At 39.5% G+C, this 27164-nt stretch overlaps 1 protein-coding gene across 17 annotated transcripts in view; it reads left to right on the top strand.

The window, feature by feature from the left end:
• Positions 1-27164, top strand: part of PLCH1 (phospholipase C eta 1) — a 294138-nt gene that overhangs the window by 42903 nt on the left and 224071 nt on the right. For 4 of the 17 annotated variants that reach the window (XM_005247239.2, NM_001130960.2, NM_001349250.2 and 1 more), the window contains exon 1: positions 25826-26172. The exons of the other annotated variants lie outside the window; for them this stretch is intronic. In XM_005247239.2, the coding sequence (XP_005247296.1) occupies positions 26130-26172 (43 nt within the window). In that variant the 5' untranslated portion in view covers positions 25826-26129. Of the gene's footprint in view, positions 1-25825; positions 26173-27164 lie in introns of those variants that run through there. 17 annotated transcript variants of the gene reach the window in all.

The raw sequence follows: 27164 nt of genomic DNA, 5'->3' as shown, positions 1-27164 counted from the left end.
GATTCCACTGAAGTATTTCTGAGAATTACAATTACTGTATTGTCTGAGCTCCCTTTTCACTAAACACAAGATACACAAGGGGGCAGTATAACACTTAAAATATGAATTGGTTACTTCTTACATTCAAGAATTACTCTTTCGAAAGGATTTAGAGATATTAAATCCTCCCAAGATTAAAAGAATCAACTCCGATTAGAACAATGATTCTATTCATTTATAATACAGCAATAGCTTTATATATTTCTGATAGTGTAAAATATCATTTTGGATTTCCTTGCCTCAGGATATATTGTAATTCAGGAAAGAAAGATGCCTTTTGCTCTTCTTCTACCTCTGCTGAAAATGAATCTGTTAACATAGGAACTTACTTGACTTAAGGAAGAATTGTGAGAAGTCTTGGGATATTTTAAACCAAGGGAGCTCTAGTGGTAATGTCTTTGTAGAGGATTTCAGAACATTTCTGAGAAAAGAAAGGGACAGGACATGTTGAGTAGGAAATGTCAGATTTCTCTTGGGCTTCTTGAACATTTACTGACCACACTTTTGCTTATTCACTTTGGCTTCTCCTTGTTTTTGTTGATAACTCTCCTTACATAACAAAATCAACCAAAACAAAAAGAAACAAAACTTCTTCCATAAATGGAAAAGAACCATTTCCCGTGCAGAATAATAGACTTTTGGAATAAGCAGACTTGGATGTATAAATTATGCCAGCCAGGGTCTCTTTCTACAGACAAACTTCAGCAGTGTTGCCAGGATAAAAGAGCTATGTTAAAATGAGAACTCTAAAATGGTCAATAGCAGCAAAAATAAAAATGTAACATTTGTGTAGTTTCACAGTTCATAAACCATATTCATAGCCTCATTTTCTGATTATAGAGGTGGTATATTCTCATTGGAAACAATTTAGAATATTACCCACAATCCCAGAACCCAAAGAGAAAGAGACTGTTAAACCTACTGTTAAGAGTCTGCTTATGTCCGGCCTTTTATCTACCTACTATTTCATCTTCACATTTCAGAGGCAGGAATGAAATATCTGGAAAGGTTGGGAAATAGTGCTTAACGGAAATGAACTGGTTGAATTGACTACTATGTCCAGCGATGAGAGAAACCTTGTTAGGAATGATGAATTTTTGTATTTCCCTCTTGTCTGTCTTTTGCCTGGATTTTTAGGAAAAACCCAAAGGAATTTGCACCTATCAGAGAAGCTAATCTCTGGGATCTTCCCCTACTTGACTTTTATTCTTCTGATATGTTTGCAATAGAAAAAAATCTTGAGCAAAGAATGTTTGGTGCGGTATGAACCCTGTCTTAATGGCTTATACCTTCATGATTTATCCTGATTTGAAAATTGCCTATACCTTCAGCTGTTTCTCCTGCTTTCAGTGAATTGCAGTATTTTTTTTTCTGACCTGGGATGCAGTCTTGATTCTTAACCAATAATGAGTGTATTTGCAATTAATATGCACATGCAATTTCTTATGCACATAAGCCTTTCCAAACATTTGAGCTCCTTACTAAGTGACTTAATGTTTGTCTTCACATACTGCTAGTTATAATTGTACTATTGGAAAAAGTATTAATTGCTTTCCTGTAAGTTATTAGGTTATCATCTCAACTTCTTATGGGAAAATTTGTTTTTGTTGCCATCATGTTGTTAAATGAATATTTCGGAATAACCATTACAAATCTAAACTAGAAACATTTTGGACTGAATTAGGAGTATCTTTTACTATCTAGGGATAAAATTAAGGGTAATTCTCTTATTAAATATTTATGCAGTATGCCTTTTCAAGAAGTTGCCTTATATATATGTTAATACTTTTACTTTGCCTCAGAACTACATTTTAATAAAACTAATTGACTTAGTTAATTAATTAAAGGATTACTTTTTATCCAGCCTCCCCTTCCTGGCCACAGACCTAGTTGGTGATGTGAGGGTAGAAACTTGACTGCTAGTTTGTAATGGAAAGTAGGCTGAAACGGGATCCTGAAGACTAGTTCTAATCCAAGTTTAACAACTAACTTGTGTAGCCTCATGTCACTTCTGGGGCCCTCAGTTTCCCTGTCTTTCAGGTGAGGATTTTGCCAGATTGTAAAGTTCCCTTATAGCAGCAAGGTGTGAGGTCTCTGTGTAGTCAAACATCAAGATAGGTGTATGATAGATGGAAGTGTTCTTCAGGCCGGGGGTATGAGAATGAAAGGCTGGCAAGATGGCATTGAAGAGAAGATAAGATTTCTTTTTGGACTGTAAACTTTGTAGTTAGTGTTGCACTGGCAAAATGCTGCATTTCCCTTTAGGGGAGAGAGGTAGTGGTGTGTGTGTGTGTGTGTGTGTGTGTGAATGGTCACAGGTTTCTCCTGACCATGGAGAGACCAATATCTAGGACTGACACACAAGCTTTCAGGACAAATGTGATTATATTCAAAAATGAAGAGTGAAAAGCTCTCCCTCACTGGAGTTCCATCTGCACTGGAAGAAAAGAGAAGAATTCCAGATCCTGACTGGAAAATATGCAAGGAGAATGAAATTATGCAAAAGTGAATTAGGGTTCCAATTGATTTCAGCCAGTTTATTAGACTTTGGCAGCCTGCCTGCTTTAGGTTTGTGGGGCATCACTAGATTTTATGTTAGAGTAGCATTTCTTTACTGAATCAAAGCCTAGCTTTTCCAGCCATAACTTTATAAGTCTCCTTTTCTAGGTCCAGAAAATACCTGTGCACATAGAATTCCTATTATTGCAATGACAATCAAGATTTCATGAACATCATTAAGATTAAAAGTATCAGGCTGGGCGCAGTGGTTCACGCCTGTAATCCCAGCACTTTGGGAGGCCGAGGCAGGTGGATCACCTGAGGTCAGGAGTTTGAGACCAGCCTGGCCAACATGGCGAAACCCTGTCTCTATTAAAAATACAAAAAATTAGCTGGGTGTGGGAGTGGATGCCTGTAATCCCAGCTACTTGGGAGGCTGAGGCAAGAGAGTCGTTTGAACCTGGGAGGTGGAGGTTGCAGTGAGCCGAGATGGCGCCACTGCACTCCAGCCTGGGCAACAAGAGCAAAACTGTCTCAAAAAAAAAAAAGATAAAAGATTAAAAATATTATCATTAAATTATTAGAGAGGACCAGGGAAAAATTTCAAAGACAAATTGAGAGGAAGAGTTAAAAAAAAAAAAAAAGAAGATAGGCCTTAAGGGAGAAAATATATTTCATTCATTTAAGTTTTATAAATTATAATAGAACTAATTCTGGAAGCAGCGTTGCCAGGTAGATTTCTTTTATTGGCCCCACCCAAAAGGCTCTCTACCTCCCATTGATGGCCACCAAAGCAGAAAGCATCAGGGCAGGTATCCTTTCAGGCCTATGATGTTCAGGTGTATCTTGCAGGTGGTGAAGATTTAGACAGAGGGAAGCATGGCCTGACCCAGGTGTGACACTTTGTAGGGGTTCCCACTGGCTGAGTTACTCTGGGTGAGTTGTTCTCTTTGGGACTAAGTTTTCCATATCAGCAAAATGCTGGCATTTATGGAAAATGACCTCTAAGTTTCTAAGCACTAAAATTTTAAGAAATGCGAGATTGTCTACCTCCCCTACTCACCCTACTTTTAAACACAGGCTAATTGGAGAATTTGCTGTGAGTTAACTGACCACATTGATTTATCTCCTTTTCTTCTTCCCCTGTCTGAGGGAAATCATAGCCATCCATTCAGGCCTTACAAAAGAGGATATTTATGTCTAGTTTAGAACACAAAGGAAAAAACCTTTAATGTGAGCTGGTATGAAATATACTTGTTCTATGACCTTTTGGGAACATATACTCTTCTTTGATGTCTTGGAGATACAAAAAATTCTCAATGAAAGCCTCTCAGTGAATGCTATTTATTTATATTTTAAAATCTAAAGTTCTTTCATTTTTTTGGTCTTTATGATGAGCATTCCATTTGTAACTGGTTTATTGAGCATTCTCAACTTAGTGTAGCATATATGCTTCAGTGAATGCTTCAGAAAATACTTTGTCCCATTGTAGCATCTTGGATAGGTTCTATTACTTTCTGGCTAATTTTGGCTATTAAGTGTCCAGTCCATTTTAAAATTTTAATCTCAAATTCATTAAGCCCTCTTACCCGCTGGCCTGGCTGTTGGTGGTTGAGGGTGGGAGTTCCTTTGTCTCTGCTATACTCCTTCCCCTTGAAGGAGAATTCAAGGCCCTGTTCCACAGATTTTGGTACAAAGAAGAGAGAGCAAAGGCTTTTTGTCTCACATGTCCCTGTTGTATGTCAGCAGCGGTGAGGTGATCCAGACTCCCTCTGCTTCCATCTTCTGTAGATTCTCAGTTTTATCCTGGCTCCCTCTGTTACCAAGGACCCTCCTGAGAGGACCTGCCATCTTGCTTCAGCCTCATGCCTTCTCTGCTGTCAGTTTCCTCTGGCTAGAGCACAGCTTCCTGTGCCCCTGAGGACACTGGGGCAACTGTCTGGCTCCTGCCCTTTCTCTTCTCTCCGTATTTCTTCATGTGGAGCTCTACAGACTGAAAGGACTTGAAAGATGGAATGGGGTGTGAAGTTGCCCCTTGCTCTTCTCAGACCTGCTGATGACAGTCTCTTCTCACACTGTAGGGGCTGCTCCCCTATGTTACCAACTTAAGCAATCTCTTCAGTCATTCTTTTGTAGCTCTTCCCCTGCTTCTTTCTGGGGGTGAGGGGTGTTTCCTCCAGTTTCACTCCTCAGAGTGCCATCTCTGCCACCCTGGGCATTGACGATATTATACGCCTAACAGCGGCTCAGGTAATGTGATTTTGATGGATGGAATCCCGGCCCCCCAACCACTGACAGCTCTCCTTGGACTCCTAGAGTCACTCTAGGCAGGTCCTTGTTCACTAACATTTTAGATTAGGGCGACTTAATTTCCCTAAAGCTACTGGTGTTCTTTATTCTGTTTGCTTTTTGCAGCATTATGTAGCTGGATTGATCAGACCCAAGCAATGATCTGTATGTATAAAAATCCATGTTGAGGTGTATCAGCCTCTATTCCTCATCGGGAATCTAATTCAATGAAGGGATTTTTCTGAGTAACTGAACCCACTGTGATCTCTCTGTCATGCTTTCTATGCAAGGTCATTTATCTTCTGCAACGATGGAGGGGATGAAAAGGTGCTCTTTAAATGGCAAATTGGAGATCTGGATGTATGGGAAGCCCAGGTGGATGAGAAGTGACAGTGTTCATTCTTTGAAGCTTTAGCTTTCAATTTTCTGAAACAAGCCTATTGCTGCCAAGTGAAAGCCTTGGATGGCTTTTTCCATGAGATTCTCCAACTCTTTCTCATAAACCTGTGGCCATTGAGAGTCCAGCCAGGCAGAAAGGCCCTTGATTGTTTTATTCCTTTATGCTTGGGAATACCAATTTTCTAATTGGCAATTGGAATTGGTAATTTTCTAATTAATTAGAAAGAAGAAATAATGTGTATAATAAACCGTCATTTTTTCCTTCAGATTTGCAGACCTTTCATGTTTTAAGTGGTTACTTCTGAGAATTATTTCCCCTTAGACCTGTGTTACAAATTTAAGCCTTTGTTCTTGAAGCTGCATTTCCATAATTACAATTAGTTTTCCTCTGCTCTCTCATTTTCCCAATTGTCTTTCCCACTCTGTTTCTAATGTATGCACAGAAATTGATGGGAGGATGAAAAATCTTTCCATGAGTAGATTCAGGGTTCTTCTAGGGCAACATAATTGTTTAATTTAGTTATGCAAAAGATCTAGATTTTTTTCCTTGGATCCAGTAATAATTAGTGATTGTGTTTGTAATCATGAAACCCTCCAATCTCCTATCTATCAAAAGAAAGTTGAAAAACTGCAGTTTGTCCCTTCTTACCACGTGGATGAAGTCATCCCCATAGAGATCTGTGACATGTTTTATATTTTCTTAGGGCTCATTCCTTTCAGCAAATATGTTTGGGGTTATTTCAAGAGTAAATTGTTGGTTTCAAAGGAATATTCAGATTTTTAATTTAAAGCCTCTAGCCTAGTGTGGAGCAGCTTCACCTACTCCCACGGCTTCAGTTCCCATGTCTATGCTAACTCCAAAAGTGTGTTCATGGCTTTGACCTTCCCTCTATGCCGAATACTCAGATGTCCATCTGCCTACCTGATGGCTCCACAGATGCTCTCCAGGTCCTCAGACTCAAGATGTGTGGAGCAGAATTCCTTCCTGCCCTGGTACCCATCTGCCTTGCCAACCTTATCTCACCCTTTCCCTTCTCTTTGCACCCCAGAAACACTGACGTTTGCATTCCTTGCCCACAAAACTCACTGCTTCTTCACTTAGCCAACTTCGAACACATCCTTTCAATCCCAGAGTAAAAGTCCTCTCAAAGGAGAAGCCTTTTCTGACTACTCAGACCAGGTCAGGTCCTGTTTTATGATCTCCGGTCACTGTGCATTGCTGCTTCATTTTGCTGCTTCATTGTGTTATCATTACTGTAATAAAACAATTAATTGTGTGATTACTACTTTCATTTCTGTCTCTCCAACCCAAGGTCCAGGAGAGCAGAGACTGTTCTGACTTCTATCTGCAGCACACAGTGCAATGCGTTGCATATAGTAGGTGCTCAATAAAATATTGCTGAATGAATTTCTATATTTTATTTAATAGGGGAGATAAGAGCGGTTTCACTATTTTTGCACTCTCTGTTGAGTTTGATTTTTAATCTTTGTGCTGTGAAATGCATCAGTTCTCTGACTGTAAACTCTCTTCTTGCCTTTACTCAGAATTTTGCCTTAGGAAACCCAGAAAAAAAATACTCATAAACCATCCTTGCTGAGATGAAGAAGGAAAAGAAGACCAATGAGAATCCAAGTGTGCCTTAGAAAAGACTGTATATTACAAATGCATAATGCCTTGAAATGGGCAAGGACAAAACCATTTCTTTAAAATAATTTCTTAAAGTAATTTCAAAAGGCTTTTTGAGTTCATTGTAGACTTTCCATGTTGGTTATACATACATATGTATTTTATCTGACTTTAAAACTGAAGGTTTCTCTCTTTAAAATAGCACTATTAGTAAAGCTGTTTAATTGCAGTTGTTTGCATACTATTAAAATTCTCTGCTGCTTGTGTCTGAAAATCTCCAGTCCAGAAGTAAGTGTTGTCTGTGGGGTAATTCTTACTGCAGAGAGCACAGAATAGACCTGCATTAAAAAAAAAAAAAAAAAAGCACTAGCTTTCTCAGTAAGAGAGGAAGAAAAGAGGCCTGGGGTTGGGGTACATGAGGAGAATAATCAAACAGCATAGGACTTCTTTAAAAGTTAAGAAGATGCACTTTTATTTCAGCTTCACAAACAAGAAAAATGGTCAGCACCTAGGCCTTTCCTCTAAGAATCTCAGGCACTATGAGAGTCCATTCCTGACTTATAGGTAGCAAGATCACTCTGAGAAGTAAACACCTCTCTGGGTAGGATAAATATAGAATCTGTGAAAATGTTTTTGTCTGTTTGTCAGCATATGTGACTGACGTATAAGTGTTTTTAGAATTTCTCCTATTGAAATGTAAAGGATGGTGGCTTATGCTCAATTAAAAGAAGAACAGGGAACACATTTATTGTTTAGTGTCGTAGTTTTACTCCCTGCCAACCTGAAATTGAACATCAATGCATTTCTACAAATGACCATTCTTTAAAATTGTGCCAATGTGAGAATTTCACGGTATTGTGTTTTTAAGCTAAGTAGAAGCTTATCATCTCTAGATGTGGAGACTTGTAAGTAATTAATGCTTTAAATCAATGGTTCCCAGCCTTGGCTGTGCATTGGAATCACCTGGGGATAAAACAAAAACAAAAATAAAACCAAACTATTTCCTGGGTCCCAGCTCAGAGGCTCTGATTTTTTGGTCTGGGGTGTGGCCAGGGTATGGGGAAATTGTTAGAACTCTTCATGTGATTCTAGTGGGCAGCCAATTAGATTTTGGTGGGTTGAAAACCCACCTACAATATGACCAATACATATTTTCTCAACAGAACTATTGAATTCATGAATTTGATAATGGTTATTTTCTGTGATGATAGTCTATTTTATACTGAATCTTGAAGGGCAGGGAAGGGGGAGCATTAAAAAAGAAGGACATGGATAGAAATACAGTATTTGAATATAAATTAAGCAGGAAAATATAGAAGAATCATCTATGCTTGGGAATTTGTAGCTGCTGTTTTTCTTTTCTTTTCTTTCTTTCTTTTTTTTTTAAGACAGAGTTTCGCTCCTGAGGCCCAGGCTGGAGTGCGATGGCCCCATCTTGGCTTACTGCAACCTCTGCCTCCCGGGTTCAAGTGATTCCCCTGCCTCAGCCTCTCAAGGAGCTGGGATTACAGGTGCACACCACCATGCCTGGTTAATTTTTGTATTTTTAGTTGAGACGGGGTTTCACCATGTTGACCAGGCTGGTCTCGAACTCATGACCCCAGGTGATCCACCCTCCTTGGCCTCCCAAAGTGTTGGGATTACAGGCATGAGCCACCACATCCAGCCGCTGCTGTTTTTCTTTAAAAATATTTTTTCACTTTATTTTTTCTGATGATAGCAACACAGGTTCACTGTAGAAAATTTGGAAAGCATAGAAAAGAGTAAAGATGGGAAAAATAGTCTATAATCTCAATAATGTGTTTTAAGTCTGTGCTTTCTTTTTTTTTTTTTTTTTTTTTTTTGAGACGGAGTCTCGCTCTGTCGCCCAGGTCGGACTGCGGACTGCAGTGGCGCAATCTCGGCTCACTGCAAGCTCCGCTTCCCGGGTTCACGCCATTCTCCTGCCTCAGCCTCCCGAGTAGCTGGGACTACAGGCGCCCGCCACCGCGCCCGGCTAATTTTTTGTATTTTTAGTAGAGACGGGGTTTCACCTTGTTAGCCAGGATGGTCTCGATCTCCTGACCTCATGATCCACCCGCCTCGGCCTCCCAAAGTGCTGGGATTACAGGCGTGAGCCACCGCGCCCGGCAAGTCTGTGCTTTCTTAAAGTGATTTAAAAACCATTGACTAAGTAGTGATTCTCATATCTGGTTATACATTTGAATCTGCTAGGGTGCTTTTTAAAAAATGCTGATGATTAGGCCGGGCGCACGCCTGTAATCCCAGCACTTTGGGAGGCCGAGGCGGGCAGATCACGAGGTCAGGAGATCGAGACCATCCTGGTTAACACGGTGAAACCCCGTCTCTACTAAAAATACAAAAACTTAGCCGGGCGTGGCAGCGTGCGCCTGTAGTCCCAGCTACTCTGAGGCAGGAGATCCCAGCTATTCTGAGGAGGCTGAGGCAGGAGAATGGCGTGAACCAGGAAGGCGGAGCTTGCAGTGAGCGGAGATGGCGCCACTGCACTCTAGCCTGGGCGACAGAGCGAGACTCATCTCAAAAAAAAAAAAATTGCTAATGATTGGAGGGACTAATATTATCCTCATTTCGCTAATGAGGAGAATGAGGCTCAGAGAATCCTTGCTGTGATAACCACAGGCAGCTACGGGAGAGAGTAGGAAAAGCAAGGTATTCCCAAGAAGCAGGCAACAGTACGGAACAAGATGTTGCTGTGGTAAGTGCCCAGCTACCAAGTTAAAACAAAACAAAACAAAACAAAAACAATGATGGTTGGACTCAACCCAAGCCCAGGTAAATCATCTCTGGAACATGGGACCCAGATGTTTCCATCCATCCATCCATCCATCCATCCATTCATTCATTCATTCTTTATCTGTATATTTATCTATCTTCAGGTGATTTTGATGACATGGGAGGGATAAAAATCACTGCATTGAAGTTGTTGGTTGACTAAAGTATTGATTTGATCAGTACACAAAATCAGGTATGAGTTTACTGATTTAATACAGCATATAATTGTACACTAGTTTGGGCAAAAGTGGTACATGAAAATCTTGACTTTATAGACTATTTGCAGAGAGGAAGGGGGAAGTGATATGCTGACCTTCATATGGTTATTTTCCTTTTTTGTAACAAATTTATTTCATATTTCCTTTAATAGGCTTTCTTAGTGTCCTTAAAATGTGATTTGCCTTAACTTTACTACCAATATATCAACAGATATATTGATACATGATATCATGATACAAAGATATACCTTTGAGCACTAATTTTTTTTTTTTTTTAGACAGAGTCTCGCTCTGTTGCCAGGTTGGAGTGCAGTGGTGCAATCTTGGCTCACTGCAACCTCCACCTCCTGGGTTCAAGCGATTCTTTGAGCACTAATTGACCTCACAATGTTGTACACGGTCTTCTGATGATAAGTAGAAATACTTTGGGAAGGTCCTTAACAACAGATAACAAAGAACATATTAATAGTGTTTTGTTTTGATTAATCTATGATGAGAACTACACAGTTCACAGTAGGATAATTTGAAGAATTGGCACAGAAAGAAATATGAAATGCAGGAATTGAGAGAACAATGCCATCATTTGGAGTATATCAGATGCAACCTTAAATATTAACTAGAATTGTGTTTATTTGTCTACTTTGGAAAACTAAGTGGTATCCAGAGACTTAGAGACCCCTGTGCATTTTGTTGTGGAAGGCAAGCTGTGTCAGTCCCTGTAGATATCTGCTCTACCTCTGTTACGCTACATGTGAGAAAACTGATGCTCAGGTTCTCTGTGTTATTCCTAGAAGTCTCAGAGTTGTGAAGAAGAAACCTTGCCTTCTCAGATTGCTCTTGTTTTGCACAATATCTCCGGCTTTGCATATAGGATCTTAAGGGGAACACAAAGAGGAATTTGAGACGGTTGTTGCTATAACTGAGTTTAGACCTTGTCGGGAGGAATTGGTGGACTCTATGTTAGAATATTCTTGAGGGATCATTAGGAAATGTTAGGTTGATGCTAAGTCAAGGTTGTCTTTGGAGTAGCATTACCTCTTTTAAGTCTCTCAACAAGACTATTTTACAGATGAAACTCACAGAAATCACAATTTGCCACAAGTCACATTGTTAGATTATGGAGTTCAAACCTAGGTTTGTCAGACTCTCAAATCCAGGGTTTTTCCACTATTGTGACACAGCAATGCATTACACAAACTTGTTTCTTTTAAAGCTGCTGAGGGGGTGGGTTTGTGTTTTAAAAGAGCTGTAACACCCTTTCTTCAAAGGCTACTAGAGAACTTCTAGAGACACAGTGTGAGTTGCCCTTAGGCTGAGTGTGGGGAGGGGGCTGAGGAACTAGGGGTGAGGGCTAAGAGTTGGTGTCCACTGGAGTGGTCCCTGGGAGCTTGTTAAAAATGCAGACTCTCAGCCCCACCAGGGAACTTCTGAGCCAGAATCTGCATTTTAACAAGGTCCTCAGATGATTAAGTATGAGCAGCATTGCTTTAGGAGACCACCGGGCTTGGGTATTAGTCCTCTGGAGTGAGGAATTTGTCCTATTCTCCAAGGAGCACATGGAAAAAGGATGGGTGTGAGGGAGAAGAGAACTGTTTTTCATCATACAAAGCATTGAGAGGTTGGAAACTTGTGTGTAAGGAGCACAGCTGATGACCAAGACCCCCAGCAGTATCCTGATACTCAGATTCCCAAGGAGGAAACATGAGGGCTATGAATTGGCAGGTAATTTTCTTTGTACAATGGGCTTAAAAATTTGAATCTCTGTGTCTAAAACATATGAAGATATAGTCAAGGATATACGTAATACCCTGATCTATAATAGCAAGGACTAGGGGAGCCCTCTGATTAAGGGATTCTGAGCAAAACCCATAGCCAGGCTTCAGGACACTTATGAAATTTTTGCAAACATTATGCTAGATACTCTATGTAGATATGCATGTACATTTGTGCATCCTCTTCCTTTGAACAAAGTCCTTAGCTTTCATTATATTTCAGAATAATCTGTTATTCCTTACCCTTTTTGTGAATTATAAACCTCTGAGTAAAACCACTCTCCTTTTATAGATGAGAAGGTAAGTGACTGGTACATATTGATAGCAACCAGCTAGTGGCAAAGTTAATTCTAAGGTAAAAGTTTTTTCTGTCAACACTTTAAATATGTCATGCTACTCTCTCCTGGCTTGTAAGGTTCCCACTGAAAAGTCTGCTGCAAGACGTATTGGCGCTGCATTGTATGTTCTTTTCTTTTTTTTTTTTTTATTCTTTTTTTTCTCTTGCTGCTTTTAGGATCCTTTCTTCATCCTTGACCTTTGGGAGTTTGATTATTAAATGCTTTGAGATAGTCTTATTTGGGTTAAATCTGCTTTGTGTTCCTTAACCTTCTTGTACTTGAATGTTGATATCTTTTCCTAGGTTTAGGAATTTCTCTGATATTATCTCTTTGAATAAACTTTCTACTTCTGTCTCTCTACTTCCTCTTTAAGGCCAATAACTTTTAGATTTGCCCTTTTGAGGCTATTTTTTAGATCCTATAGGTGTGCTTCATTGCTTGTTATTCTTTTTTCTGTTTTTCTCCTCTGACTATGTGTTTTCAAATAGCCTGTCTTTAAGCTCACTAATCCTTTCTTCTGCTTGATCAATTCTGCTATTAAAAGATTCTTCATCACGTCAACTGTATTTTTCAACTCTAGAATTTCTGCTGGTTCTTTTTAATTATTTCAACCTTCTTTTAAAGTATATCTGATAGAATTCTGAGTTCCTTCTCTGTGTTATCTTGAATTTCTCTGACTTTTCCTCAAAACAGCCATTTTGAATTCTCTATGTGAAAGGTCATATATCTCTGTTTCTCCAGAATTGGTCCCTGGTGGCTTATTTAGTTTATTTGGTAAGGTCATGTTTTCTTGGATGATGCTGATGCTGGTAGATGTTCTTTGGTGTTTGGGCATTGAAGAGTTAGGTGTTTATTGTAGTCTTCACGGTCTAAACTTGTTTGTGCCTGTTCTTCTTGGAAAGACTTTCAGGTATTAAAAGAGACTTGGGTCCCAAGTCCAATAATGCTGTGTTTTTTTCAGACTCGTAGAGTTATCACCTTGGTGGTCTTAGATAAGATCTGGAAGAATTTTCTAGATTACCAGGCAGACTCCTGTTCTTTTTCCCTTACTTTTCCCAAACATATAGAGTCTCTCTTTTTCTTTGCTGAGCCACTGGGGAGCTGGGAGGGTGGTGATGCAAGCACCCCTGTAATCACAACCACTGGGACTGTGCTGGGTGAGACCTGAAGCCAGCATGGCACTGACTGGGACTTGCCCTAGGCCCTTCCCTTCAGGATGGCAAGATCCCCCCCGGCCCCAGGCATGTCCAGCGATGCTGTCTGGGAGCCAGGGATTGAAGTAAAAAACTTTAGCAATTTACCTGATGTTCTATTCTACAGCGGCTAAGCTGGCACTCAGGCCACAATACAAAGTTCTTCCTGCTCTTCCCTCCCCTTTCCACAGGCAGAGGAGCCTTTCTCTGTGGCCACCCGCTACCACTGGTCCATGGGGGCTTTCTGCTAGGCCCCTGTCTGTGTTCACTTAAAGTCCAAGGGCTCTTCCATCAGCAGTGGTGAATGCTGACAGGCCTGGGACCCACCCTTCAAGGCAGTGGACTCCCTTCTGGCCCAGGGCGGGTCTGGAAATGCTGTCCAAAAGCCTAGGCCTGGACTCAGGGACCCTAAGAACCTGGTTTTTGCTCTACCCCACTGTGGCTGAGCTGTTACCTTATTTTTGGTTCCTGTGATGGTGCTTTTCTGTGTGCAGATAGCTGTTAAAATTTGGTGTCCCAGCAGTGGGGATGAATGGTGTAGGCTTCTGTTCTGCCATCTTGCTCCTGGGGGTTAATTCTAAAAGCCAGTATTCTGTCATTCCAACTCAACTGGCCTTTATGATCTGAACTAAGTATTATGAAATGCTAAGTGGATTTTCTGTGGGATAAATCTTGTAAATCACTGCATTTTCTGATTATCAAAAATGGCTAGATATTTATGGCATTGGAATATTGTGACATAAAAGGAATTTTATGTGAAAGCATTTCAGGGCCTCTGTGTGTTGGCCAGGTAAGTCTGGAAGTATTCACTTTGGAGCTGCTAAAGGGCTGAGGTCCTGGTTTCCCATCATTGATGGCAGCAGGGCTGTATGAGACAGGGCTCTCCTTGCCTAGTGGCATCCAACTGACTTCTTTTTGTGTCTTCATAGGTAAAAATGATTATTAACTCTCTGTGGGGAGCCAGGTGCTGAACTTTACAAATAATGTAACATAATCCATGTAGCATTTAGATCCAGTAAGGATTTCACTGTATGGTAATTTACTAGGTAGTAGTGTTGACTCTGTGAATCCAAAGGATGTTTAGACATTTTTCATTTCTTAGGAGAAAGGTTTTAGAGTTGCTGCTCTGCAAAACCATAGGTGAATGACCTTTAGTTGTGGAAGCTAACCCTTTAAAGCAGTTGCCCTGTGTATCTGCCAGAAAAATAATAGTGTTCCGATCCTTGGGAATTATATCAGTCAGTGACAGGAGGATGGTTATTTTTTAAAGACAAATACTTAGTCTCAGTATGTCAACTTGCAGCCTGTTGAGACCATTTTTAATACATATATACTCTTGCTTGAGCTTCTAAGAACCCATCTGGGAAATAATATTCTCATAGGTCTCTTATTTTGGTCTCTGATTATATTTTTGCTTCCTTATCCCTTACCATTTCTCCTAAATTATATAAATCAGTGTAGACATTTAATGTCTAGCAACTGTAGGCACCATGTTTCTGATACTAGTAATGTAAAATTTTCTCTTAGCTAGAGAACAAGTTCTGCATAAATCATAGTACTAAATTATTTCTAAATTAGATTAATTTATATAAAGTGATAAAATGTTATTGGTTTCCTATTTTATCATCTTTAGTATTCATGAAGGAGCAATTCTTTTTTCTTTTTTCCAAGGTCTTTAACAAAATTAGCTTTTGAAACCATTTTTGTGCTAGTCGACTATGAATGAGGAGGACTATTGAAGCAGAAAATTAAAATACTTTTGATGTTTTTATTTTAATACTAATCATTAATCTATACTTCAGCATTATTTCTCTCATTGATAAATTTATTGCTTTTAAAGTATTTCTATCTTCCATAATGTCTTTTCTAGCAAAAGAGCTTTGCTACATTTTTGAAATTCTTGCTATTTGAGTGACTTATCAAGGAGCAAGAATTTTGGCAGCCAAAACTAATTTGACTATTGACAGAAGGCTTTATTATATATGCTGTCAAGCATTTTATTGCCTTATGTGTACAGATTATTTTAAGTTAATAAACAAGGGGCATTTCTAGTACACTTTCACCTTTAGGAGAGTATACATTTACTGCGAGTATTTTAGAGAGTGGTTATACTATAAGGTTCATGTTCATTTTTTTAAATAGAAAGCCCCAAGTTTTTGTATAGAATTTTCAGAACTGGGAAAGACTTCAAGGACCTCAAGAAAATATTTAATGCCACCAGTTTCTGAGACCCCTTCTAGAATGAGAGCTCTAGAGAATAGGGAATGTGACTTTAGAGCCTTGCATATGGGAGATGCCTGGTAAGTATTTGATTGATGAATCAGTAACATCTCACTTTTGATCAGTGAGGATGCTGAGGCTGGGAAAGGTTCAGTGATGGGCTGAAGGTGGGTCTAAACCTAACCTAACTGTTAGAAAGTGGTGACAACTGAGTCCCTGAGCAATATGGGTGCATTGTGAGGTACCTACCATGCCACACCGTGTGTTCATGTCCACAGCTTCAAAAATTCCTTGGTCTCATTCTAAGTAGAGCAGCTTGCTGATTCCCAAGCACTGCCATAACAATCAATCATTTGTCCCTTCCATGGGTCCTTATTCCCCAAGCTAGTTTGAACAAGGGATATTGCTCCCTTTTTGCCTTCATGCTTTAAATATTTATTGACTTAGATTCTATGCTGGGGATCTACAGTTGACAAACTACAAATGGCCCCTGTCTGTAAGGAGCTTACATTACAGTCTTGCCCCTCTTTGCACTTCCTTCCCTCTTCTTCCCCTCAACCACACATGGGACTTTATGTTATGTTAACTTTTATCCAGTTTGCTTTATCATTGTGTACTTGTACACTCTCTTTCTATACACACACACGCATGCATGCACGCACACACGATTATTTTTTCTGAATAATTTGAGAATAAGTTGCATACCTCATGGCCCTTTGCCCCATGGTATAATTATCAACTTAAGTAAATTTAACATTCATAAGTCCCTTTAATGTCCTTGGTTTCTGAAAGATGTTTTTTCAACTGGTCTCTACAGGGAAATGAACCTGGGAGAGGAAAGTAAAAAACATGGAGAAAAATATTTTTGTAAATCCTACCAAGTTCTTAGGGTTAGAGCCAAGCCTCTTGTGTGTTTGTGACTTAGAAGGGCCCTGTGCTTGGTTTAATGCTTTGCTGTTGCCATTTTGAAATTCTTTATAATTGAGGGGGAAAAGTCTCCATGTTTTCATTTCATACAGGGCCAGCAGATTATGTAGCTCATCCTGCTTAAAGCACTTATATGCTGGGCTAGGAACTTTTGCATCTGTTATTATAGATATTGCTGAGGATGGGGAAACTGAGGCTTAGAGAGATTTAAAATAGCTTGGCTTGGATTGTTAAGTTACTGGTAGAACCAGGATTTGAATTGAAGTCTTTTTGATTGCTTATCTGTTGACTGTCACATCGTCTCCAACTACTTTATGCCCCTTAACTCTTCTTCCACTGAGTTAAATTATTTCTGGATTTGGAATTGACTTGTCCTTTCTCTTTTTCTCCTAAGGAGCTCTGCCTTCCCTTGGTACCACAGTTGCTCTCTCTCTTCCTAAATCACTAGGCTGAAGTGTTAACCAGAAGGCCATTTGGAAAATTTTAATAAGTTGATAATTTTCATCCAAGGGAACTGTCCATTAGTAGCTGCCACCTTAATCTTCTCCCTGATTTGTAGAGAAAAGGCTACATGCCATCATCCCCTCACTTACCCTTACCGTATCTCACAATTGAGCAACTGGTTTTCTTCATGTTCCCAGCTTTTGGAGTCCCTCTGTTATCCTTTGGGATCTGAGTCTTGCTTTATGCCCAGTGTCTTCCGACAATTGGAAAACTATCCAGAATCTGAGTTTGGATCTGGGTGGGTCTTCTGTGCTCAGGCCTTCCTGGTACTCACTACTCTTCTGGTCCGTTCTAGGCCCTGGAGATACATCAGGGAGCAAGACATTCATTGTTCTAGCTCTCAAGGAATTTACATTATGTTCCTCCTTGTTTCTGTGTCTATTTTTCTGTTGTCTTAGGCAGAATGCAAAATTAATAAATCAGTACTGTTAGGGGGAAATAATATGAGAAGAAAGGCTAAAGAGGTAAGGAGACACTGCAAAAACTATTAGTATGTGTAAAATTGTACTGCTGAAGTTGTGGAGAAGAGCTACTTTCTCTTTCATCAAGGGAGAGACAAAGGAGTTGATTTTTCATTTCTGTAGAGTAATTTAGTTTAGGAATTTAGACTGTTGTGATAGTACTGTGAGCTGTAACGTATTGAAAATTGTTACCGGAGGAGCCAGTACAATCTCTTTCCTTGGTTTTCTTTTAGAAAGAGGAGTGAGGTCTCCCTGCCTCAACCATTTAAGGGCATCCTTTCTCTAAAGGTCATCTTTTTTTTTAATAAAATGTCTTCCTCAGACATTACAGGGTTAGATTTTCAGAGGAGGCATTCCCCTTCCAGTCCTTCAGGAGTTTATGGCCATCCCGCTCCCTTGGAGACCCGTTTCCTGTTCTCAGGAGAGTCTCTGGTTGTACAGAGCAAACAACCCTGAATTCTGCTCAGGTTGAAGTGACCTGGTGGTTCTGAGGCAGCCTCGAAGTTTGAACTCTCTTTAGTCAGGCCTTTGAGTTTGGGTGGCCTGAAGAGACTTCCCAGAGATGTGGCTGTTGTGTTCAATAATCTAGAATCATCTTCTCCTCTCTACCCGCTTCCCCCAATTTATGGTTATCTCTATGTTTGCTTTCCTTATGGGACCAGTCTGTATATGTAGTGTCCCAGGGCTCAGTATTGCTGGATAAGGGGGTAGGGGGTTTGCGTTATGATGACCATGCGTATCTCCTATTTGAATGCATGTATTGTAATCCCTATTTGATTGGCTGTAAGTCAAGCCATGCCTGGGCAGATAATATCATTTACCTTTTATTAGACTCAGAGATGGCAGATTAAGGCATGATAAAATATCCTGTATTAAGATATCAGGTACGTCCAAGTGTGGTTATTATACAACCAAACAGTCCTCATTTAGCTGGAGTGCTGGAGAATACAAGCACTTAGGATTTATTCTGGACATTTCCACTCTAGTCATCCAGCTCCACCTCCCAAGGAAGGAGGTAAAGGGGCTTCTGTTCAGGGGAAAGTGCATCCCAAGTACTGTAGGGGAGTTTGAATATATGACTAAGTAAGTTTTGAGAATTTAATTAAAGCTTCAGTCCTCAGGACAGATATTTGTTTTAATATATGTCACTGTCAACAACCATGAGAGATTCCCGTGTGACTACCTATCTCTAGTTAATTCTCCTCTGTTAATGTTATGATTAACACTGATCAGCACTGATGGTAGCTGCTCAAATAGCTGATGCTGATTTACAAAGTCTGGGTACTTTTATTTATAGCTGGATATGAGTTCATGGCACCCAAATGTCAATCAGAATTTTACATTTTCTGAGTCATTACCAAAGATAGTTCAGTGTGCTTTAGTGTTCCCTGGCTGCAAGCTCCTGGGTTTCTTATAGCACCTGTGTATAAAATCTTGCCCACGAGGTCTTGGTTATTTTCATGGATTGCTCAAGTTGAAATCAAGTTCTGAGTCTATGAGAGATTTTATTTTCAATTATATTGACATCTTCATCAAGCTGACAGTGATGTGCCTACAAATTTTTATGCTAACCTATAAAATTTAAAGTGACATGACCAATAAACAATCAAGTCTTTCAAAAAATAATGAAAACCAAGAGTCTCGAAGGGGAGATCAATAAGTCATCAAGCAGGCAGCGTTCAAAGAGGCAGTCAGGCTAATGAGTGGCTCATCTCTGTCCTGTGGAACATAGCAAAATTAAATATGGGTTATACTCAGTTTGTTTTGAGATTCAGATGCTTAAAAATGTGTAGCAATTACTGTCCACTGATGCATGTCAGGTTTTTAATGCAGGAGAGATCCAAACTGGTTTATTTGACAAGTGTGTGTGATCTATAGGACATGTTCTGTCTCATTAGAATATAGAGTTATATCTCTCCAGTGATGAATAAACATTCACAATAAGCCTGCTCTCTGAGTAAAACACTTGTGTAGGCTATTCTCAGCATTTATTCAGCAAGCATTGGATGGAAACCTGCTCCCCTACAGGTCTTCATCTCTTCTCAGCTAAAATTTTTGTAATACACTGGGTTTGCAATTTAAGTGTTTGGTTATACTCTGTTATCCTGTTGTCTAGCAATTCTTGCTGGCAATAATATTTTAAGCATGTTTGCCTGGTGTGGGGAAAGAGCACTGTGTTTGGATTAGAAAGCCCAGTTTTTCCACTGACTAATTTTGTGATCTTGGGCACATTCATAGGGAGCTGCTGAGGCTCAGCTTCCTCTTTTGCAAATGCAGAATGATAATTCTGCCTCTCTGCCTTCCTGTAGTTGCTGTCAGGCTCATGTGGGGTATGTGTTCCTAGAGGACTTCGTAAGGTGTAGAGTTTATAAAGCATCACATAGGATTGATGAGATTGTAATTACTACCTTAATTGAGCATTTAGGTACATTGCATACACTTTTGTTTGTGAAGTGCCTTTTCCTTTGTATATGAACTCAGAGTAGCATTCCATTTTGTTCCTTGGGGTTTAATATAAAAGTTGCAGCAATTTTCTGAAGCAATCCTGATGGGGCTTTCTGAGCTTCATATAATAGCAATTTCCTCAAATGTACTGATGATGAATAGGCCAAAGGCATGAACTATGCTGGGCTTGTTTGAATTGATAAATGATCTCTACCTTCTCTCATTCATTTAACTCAAAGTTTGCATTGACTACATCTTTAGTGAGTTGAGTCCATTGTAAATAAAAACTGAAAGCATATTTCCAGTTTGTCCCATAGATTATTAGCAGACACTCAGAGGCTAAAGTCTAACCCTTCAGTTAGTTCATTTTTTATTTCTGTGATTTGCACAGGCCAAATAATGGATAGTGCTACCCTCTGCTTCAGAACCAGATATTGCCCAGGACAGCTAGCTGAGTAAGGATGACTGAGTGGTCAAGGGATTTTGATGAAAGATTAGTGCCCATTGTCTCCAGAGTACTCTGGAACAGCTTAAGACTAAGCAGGGGTTCAGACAGGACAATGCCTCAGTGGTAGTAAAAAACCCCCCTATTTTATGGAAAGGAAATGTGCTTGCTCATCCTGGGAACATCTTCCTGGACCATCCACTTGGGAGTTTCCCTGCATCTAGCCCTTTGGGGTTGCATGTAGATTGGAAAATTCTTGTTGAGGTTTCATGTGTTTGCATAGCTACATTGGTGATTTTGATATATAACTTATAGCAATGATTTTGGGTTTCCTCTGTAGTTGAGTGCACAGTGAAATTTCCTAAAAGGAATTAAGCTCTGGTTGCTCTGTTCATTGTTCTGTGAGACATTCAGATAAAAAAAGAGAGACTGAAGGCAATAAGTGACTCAAGATCTCCGTATTACCTTATCTGGTGAAGATCACTGATTCTAGAGACATTCTGTGGAGATTCAAAGCCCAGGTCTATCACAGACTTGCTGTGCCATCTTGGGGAAGTTATGTAAGTGCTTTTTGCCTCAGGTTCCACATTTGAGACTAGAGAAATGGTTGTACCTAATCTACTCAAAAGGGCATTGTAAGGATTAAATAAGGCATGTGCAATGCTAGGAACAGTATCTGGAACATAGTAAAGTGCTTCATAAATGTTAGTAAGCCTCAAAGCAAGTTTTCCATATTATATTAGTGGGAAGAGATTATATTCTTTTTCTAAGTTTAGTGTTACTAAACTGGCTACACTTTTAAAAAATAATGTTATTTTTTTCTGAGTATAAAAGAAATAAATGCTGGTTCTAAATAATCAAAATATAGTAACATATAAAGAAGAAAGTAAAACACCTAGAGATAGCTGTGGATAACCTCTGATAACATTTTTTTCATATGTTTTTATAGGATTTATTCTATATGTCTATATTCTATATTTTACGTATTTAAAGTAACATTAGTAGTTAGTTTGTATCTCCTTTTTTCCTTTAATTAGTAGTTAGTTTGTATCCTCCTTTTTTCACTTAGTATGTCAAACATTCTCCAGGTAATTGCAATGTCTTACAGACATCGTTAATGGTTAGACAGTATTCCAAAATGTGAATGTATATTTAAGTCAATCATTCCCTTTTTGGTAGACAATTAGACAGTTGAGAGTTATTAATTATTATAACAAATGTTAAGGAAAGGATACTTCCTTCTATATAGATTTTTATATTTCTGATGATTTCCTTATGGTAGCTTTCTAGCAGCAATGATTATTGACTAAAATAAGCATAACCATTTTTACAAATCTTGCTGCATCTTGCCTGATGACTTCATTAAGTTTGTTACAGTTTATGCTCTCAATGTACAACTTAACAGCAGAGTATGAAAGTTCCTGTGAGATCCTCCCCTTAATTGAGGTACCTGTATGTGGGATAGGTCTTAGGAAGTGGTAGCTGGGTGTGACTGGAGGCTCTCAATGGCGAAGCTGCACCCTATACTTGCTTTTCCCCTACTTTCCATTTTGTGATGAAAACTGTGAATATGCTTTAAGTTAATGTGATACTATGGCTTTACTGACTTTTTTTTTTGAGACAGAATCTCGCTCTGTCACCCAGGCTGGAGTGCAGTGGCATGATCTCGGCTCACTGCAACCTCTGCCTCCCGGGTTCAAGCAATTCTCCTGCCTCAGCCTCCTGAGTAGCTGGGACTACAGGTTCACGCCACCACACTCGGCTAATTTTTGTATTTTTAGTAGAGATGGGGTTTCACCATGTTGGTCAGGCTGGTCTCAAACTCCTGACCTTGTGATCTGCCCTCCTCAGCCTCCCAATGTGCTGGGATTACAGGCGTGAGCCACCGCGCCCAGCCGACTATTTTTATTTATTTATTTATTTTTTAAAGCATTTCTGTGTTTCTATGCCAGAGACACTAACAGCTTCTGGCATTGTGTGGGAATATTTTCTAGCTGGGAAAAAAACATGAGGAATTTCGATATCAGGCCTAAAACTTTAGACATGGTTTCCAGGACCTAAAGCACAGAGCCAGGGGAAAGGGCCCAAATCTGGAGTCAGCTTGGGTTTGAATTCTGGTTCATCACAGCCGTGTGATCTTGGACATCTTCTCAGACTTGAATCTCAGTTTTCTTACCTTTAAAATGTGGATACTAATATATCTCCTTGCAGAATTTTCATGAAGATTAGGGAAGATAATATTTGCATAGTGGTGTCTGGTAAATGGTAGCTTTTATAATAATGTTTCATTAAGTGACATGGTTCCTAGGTTTGCGTCAGTAGGTTTTCTGATTGGACTTGTGAGCCCTAAGGGCAGATATGCACCATGTTTTCACTCCGAGTTTATCTCAGTTTAGAATTATATGACTGGTGAGGTTGGGGTGTGGGGGGAGGGTTGTATAGAACATTTTAAACATTGAGACTTGGTTAAATGAAGTTATATCAAGCCAGTGATTGGAGTGGCCATTCACTTACTGCATTAGCTTCTATTTATGGAGTATTTATTTTTCCAGCCACTGGGGCTAGGCCCTTGGCCTCTACCACCCATTTACTCTTCAGCAGTGCCCTCTGAGGTAGGTACTGCCATTGCCAGGGGAGGATATTTAGGCTTACAGGTTTAGAGAGCACCAGCCCTCCCCACCACCCCCATTGTGTTGTCAGATTTAGCAAGAAAAAATACAGGAATATTACAGCAAGTAAAAATACAGGAAAAAAATACAGAAAATATTTAGCAAGAAAAAATACAGTATATCATGGGACATACTTATACTGAAAATTATTTGTTGTTTCTCTGAAATCCGAATTTAACTGGGTGTCTTGTTTTATATGACAACCCTACCCATAACTGACCCAAGGCCAGGCAGTGAATCAAGGAAGAGGCTGGGGCTTACATCTTTCTCCATCTTCCATGGAAACCATTGCTTTTACCTATTACACTTTATGATGTTTCTTTAAGAAATCAGAAGTAGAACTCAGGTGTGAAAGATGAGGGAAATGCTGTCAGATGAGGTGTAAAGTCCTTCACTGATTGTAAATTTAGAAGCTGAACTCAGAAATATTGTTTTTTATTTTTCACCTGATTGGTGAAGGTAATTCCATGTTAGGTCTAATGATTAAAAATGGAGAAAGTTGATGAGGGTCTATAAGGTACCTACTGTATGCCAAGTACTATGCTAGAACGAATCTGGAAAAGGCCCAGACTTTTCAAATGAGGGTTCCAGTTAAGAAATTAAAGATTCTAAGGCTGTAAGGTTGTTGAGGTGACCCATCAGAGGAAGCACCATTGTCCCCAAAGTCTGTTGGCCTAGTTTTGACATCGTACATGACCTTCTGTTGGGAGAATACAGGGGAGTGATTTCAGAGATGTGGTTATTCATTCAGTGTCTCTGCCAACTTCAGGATAGGTGTTTATAAGTTTTATGATTCTTTTGAATGGGCTGCATAGGAGGTTATTTGCTACTGCTGAAGAATTGGATATTTAATAATAAGTAGATATCTCTAGGCTCTCAAAAATCTGTGAGTGCTCCTTTGTGGTCAAACAGACACTTATGGGCCATGGCTGCTTTTTAAAAGCTTGCCCACCTGCCCTATGAAGCTGCTATGTGCTCCCCCTGGGTAAGTGGCTTGGCCCTCAACGGTGCCCCAGAGCCACTCAGAATAAACCTGCCATGTGCTTGTGTGGTTGGGCTCCATATCCAATCCTGCATGTCAGCCTTTTCAGGGAGGAGCCTGGGGCTTCAGGAGCAAGAGGTGAGAGGGATGAAAAACTTATTATGAGCAAGACTCCCAGTGGGTAAAGTGAGCACATAAAAAGTTTGTCCCCTTCCTCTTTCTTGACCCCAGATTGGAGTGGGGAGGGGGATCTTTGGAAGGAAGCCTTTCCAAAACTTCTTGGGAGCTGGGAGTGCTTTGGTCTTCACCTCTTTTCAGGACCGAGCAAGAGATAAACCCAAGATGCCTCTTGCTTTTTGGGCATGTTTGGTTCTGGGCAGACAAAGGAACGAGATATTCGTTACTTGGTGTTACCAATTTTGTGTTAAGAAAACACCATTGTCTTTTTGTATAAAATTATCTGGGAGTATTAAATACTTGGATTATTTAGCAGGAATGGGTATTTCTCAGATATGTCACATTTTGGGGTGCCATCTTGTGTTCGGACCACTAATTAATTCAGATTAAGCAATGAAGTCCACTCCTTTCCTGGGTTGATGTAAAGAATTTCAAGATTAATAATAGTAAAACAATAATAATATATAATTGTGATTCTAAGCACTTTATGTGTATTAAATTAATTACTGCAATAACATTTTGAAGTAGAAACTATTACTATGCCCACTGTACAAATAAGGAAATGGAGGAGCAGAGAATTTAAGTAAATTGCCCAAAGTCTCACAGCTAGTTGGTGGCAGAGTCAGTCTTTGAACCTAGGCAGATAGGCTCCTAAACTCTTAATGGCTATTTTGTATAGTGATGTATGTATGTATGGTAGATTGAATCTTGCAAGAAGGATATTTTCATCATGTATTTAATTGTGTGTGCCCACATATACCTTTGAAATCCAAGTTTCCCTAGAGTATTTGAAAGTAAATAGTGTAGTTTGCAATTTGGGGCAGGGGATGTGCAAATTGGGACACAGGTGAATTGGATCTGGGATAGAGCTTGGCACCTTGGAATCAAGGGATGAGTTAGCAATCTAGGCTGGGTGGCCCTGGTGGGAATTGCCTAAAGGGCCTGACACTGGTATATGCAGAATGGGAGATGCTGGGAGTCCTAAGGGCCACAGGTGGGTGAGGGACAGCTGAAGCTGGGAGAAGAAAATGGCAATAGGGTCGATATTAGAAAGGGAATGCTGGAATGAGAGAGTTAATACTCAGGATGAGAGGCTTAGTTACAATGCCTCAATGCAAGACTACTGTAAATTGCTACTGTATCTGCTTATGTGTCTGTCTGTCTACCTATCTCTTCAAAGAAGTTGAATAAAGTTGCAAATAATGTTTACATAGACTTTAGGGAAAATTGCACTATAATAATGTGTGGTTTCATTCACTAAAAACTGACTTTTTTAGACCCATTCATGCTGTCTACCTTGTCCACGTCCACAGGCATGTGATTTTTTTTTTAAACATGAGAAATAGCCTCCACCGAGTAAGTGTTTTCAAACTGTAACCTCATTCCTTCTAAGTTGGAAACATTCCAGTCTTTTCTGTGATCATTGCTATGTTTGTGTGTGAATAAAATCAGGACAAAAAAACAAGGAAAACCCTCAACGCTTTGAATATGCACTTAACCTGACTTGCACAAAAGTAGCCTATAGGGCAGTCGTAGCTTATTTCTTAATGGATTGTGTTTGCCTCCGATGGAGTGATGTTTGCTTCTGAGAGTGTGTGTCTGTGTGTGTGCTTCTGTGTCTCTGTGTGTGCATGTTCATTTTCTGTATTCAGTCTGCGTCACTCCCACGGTAATCAGTGTTTCTCAATGACCTCTGAAGGTGAGGAGGGTTTCTTTGATGGATAAAGACCTACACTTCCCAGACATTAAATGTGCATAATGCCTTGAGGGCTTTAACGCGCTGCACGAAGCATGCATGTCTCATACCCAAAGTAGCCACAGCGCCTGCATTCCCACAATAGCGGCAGCCCCGAGCAGATGCTTCCAGCGTGCTTATCTGGCTGTGCTTTTCACTTTGGGACAAAGTTCTATAATCATATCTCATGGATTTATTTTCTCCACACTATAAAGCCTGAATTGTGAAGATCTCATCATGCCATAAAGGGCAGCATGAGCCAAGTTCTGGGGGCTGCTAAGGATTTCTTTGCCTTTTTTCCCCCCACCCTTTTTGGAAATGTGTATCAGGAAAAGGCTTTGCCTTTAGAGAGAAATTGTACTGCTCTTGCCAATAATGTGTAATAGTATTAAATTTAATGGCAGACCTTGAAGTGTATAAAAACTTAAGTCCAGAAAAAGGTAAGACTCATACTACTAATTTTAAGGTAAGTGTAATAGTCCTAGTAAAAGATGGTAAACATTTATTTTATTTCATGTTTAGTTAAGTTAAATATTTATTTGAATTCTTCAGAACATATTTATTATATTTCAGTATGAAATGAGGTAACAAAGTATTTTTGTTTAGGCAGAAGTGTTTTTTTCGTATAAATGTAGACTTTTATAAGAGTAGAATTTGCATGCTGGCAAACTGAAAGTATATCATTATATTAAAATGGTCAGTGAGAAAATAATTTGTATTCTTAGGTTATAAGTCAGGATACAGACATGCCTAAAAATTTCATTTGTCTGACATTTATGAACAGTAGGTTTTAACTGAAACATTGTCAAGTCTTGTTCAGTTTGAATAATGATGAATAAAGCTATATTTTAACTTTCTACAATAATCTGGAGAGAATGATTCCCAATTTGTATCAATTAAAACTAGTCAGGGATAGTAAAAATAATTAGCTCTATAAAATAGAATGGCAGAAGTATTTAGCACAGATAAAATGGAGGCAGGATCCATGTATCATGTTCTTACAGCCTGTCAGCTCCAGGAGCATGAGAAAAACATCTTAAAGTATGAGTTAGGAGATTAGAAATTGAAAATCTATGGAGATTGTTCTTGAATTATAAGAATTATTCCTTCCTGGTCAGACAGAATAAATGACATGTCAAGAAATGTCTTCTAAAGTTACCTTCAAACTGAAATTTGTCTGTCATTTCAGGTTATTCATATGCGTCTACTCAAATGTAACTTTATCCCATCAATGCTGATCTGAAAGCCTGTCTGGAGATTGTTGCTAGTTTATGGTTTCAGCTTTAATGTGCCATGTTCCCAGTACCAGCATTGATGTTTGCTTTTTATTCAAAACATAAATTGTACCATGGTTGAGATTTTCTTGAGTATACCTGAGTTTTCTAAGCCTGGGAAGAAGCTTTCATACAGAAATAGGGAAGGATTTGGCTTA

This window comes from Homo sapiens, chromosome 3 (assembly GCF_000001405.40).
Source record: "Homo sapiens chromosome 3, GRCh38.p14 Primary Assembly".
NCBI classification, from domain to species: domain Eukaryota; kingdom Metazoa; phylum Chordata; class Mammalia; order Primates; family Hominidae; genus Homo; species Homo sapiens.
This window is presented reverse-complemented; position numbering and strand designations above follow the sequence as displayed.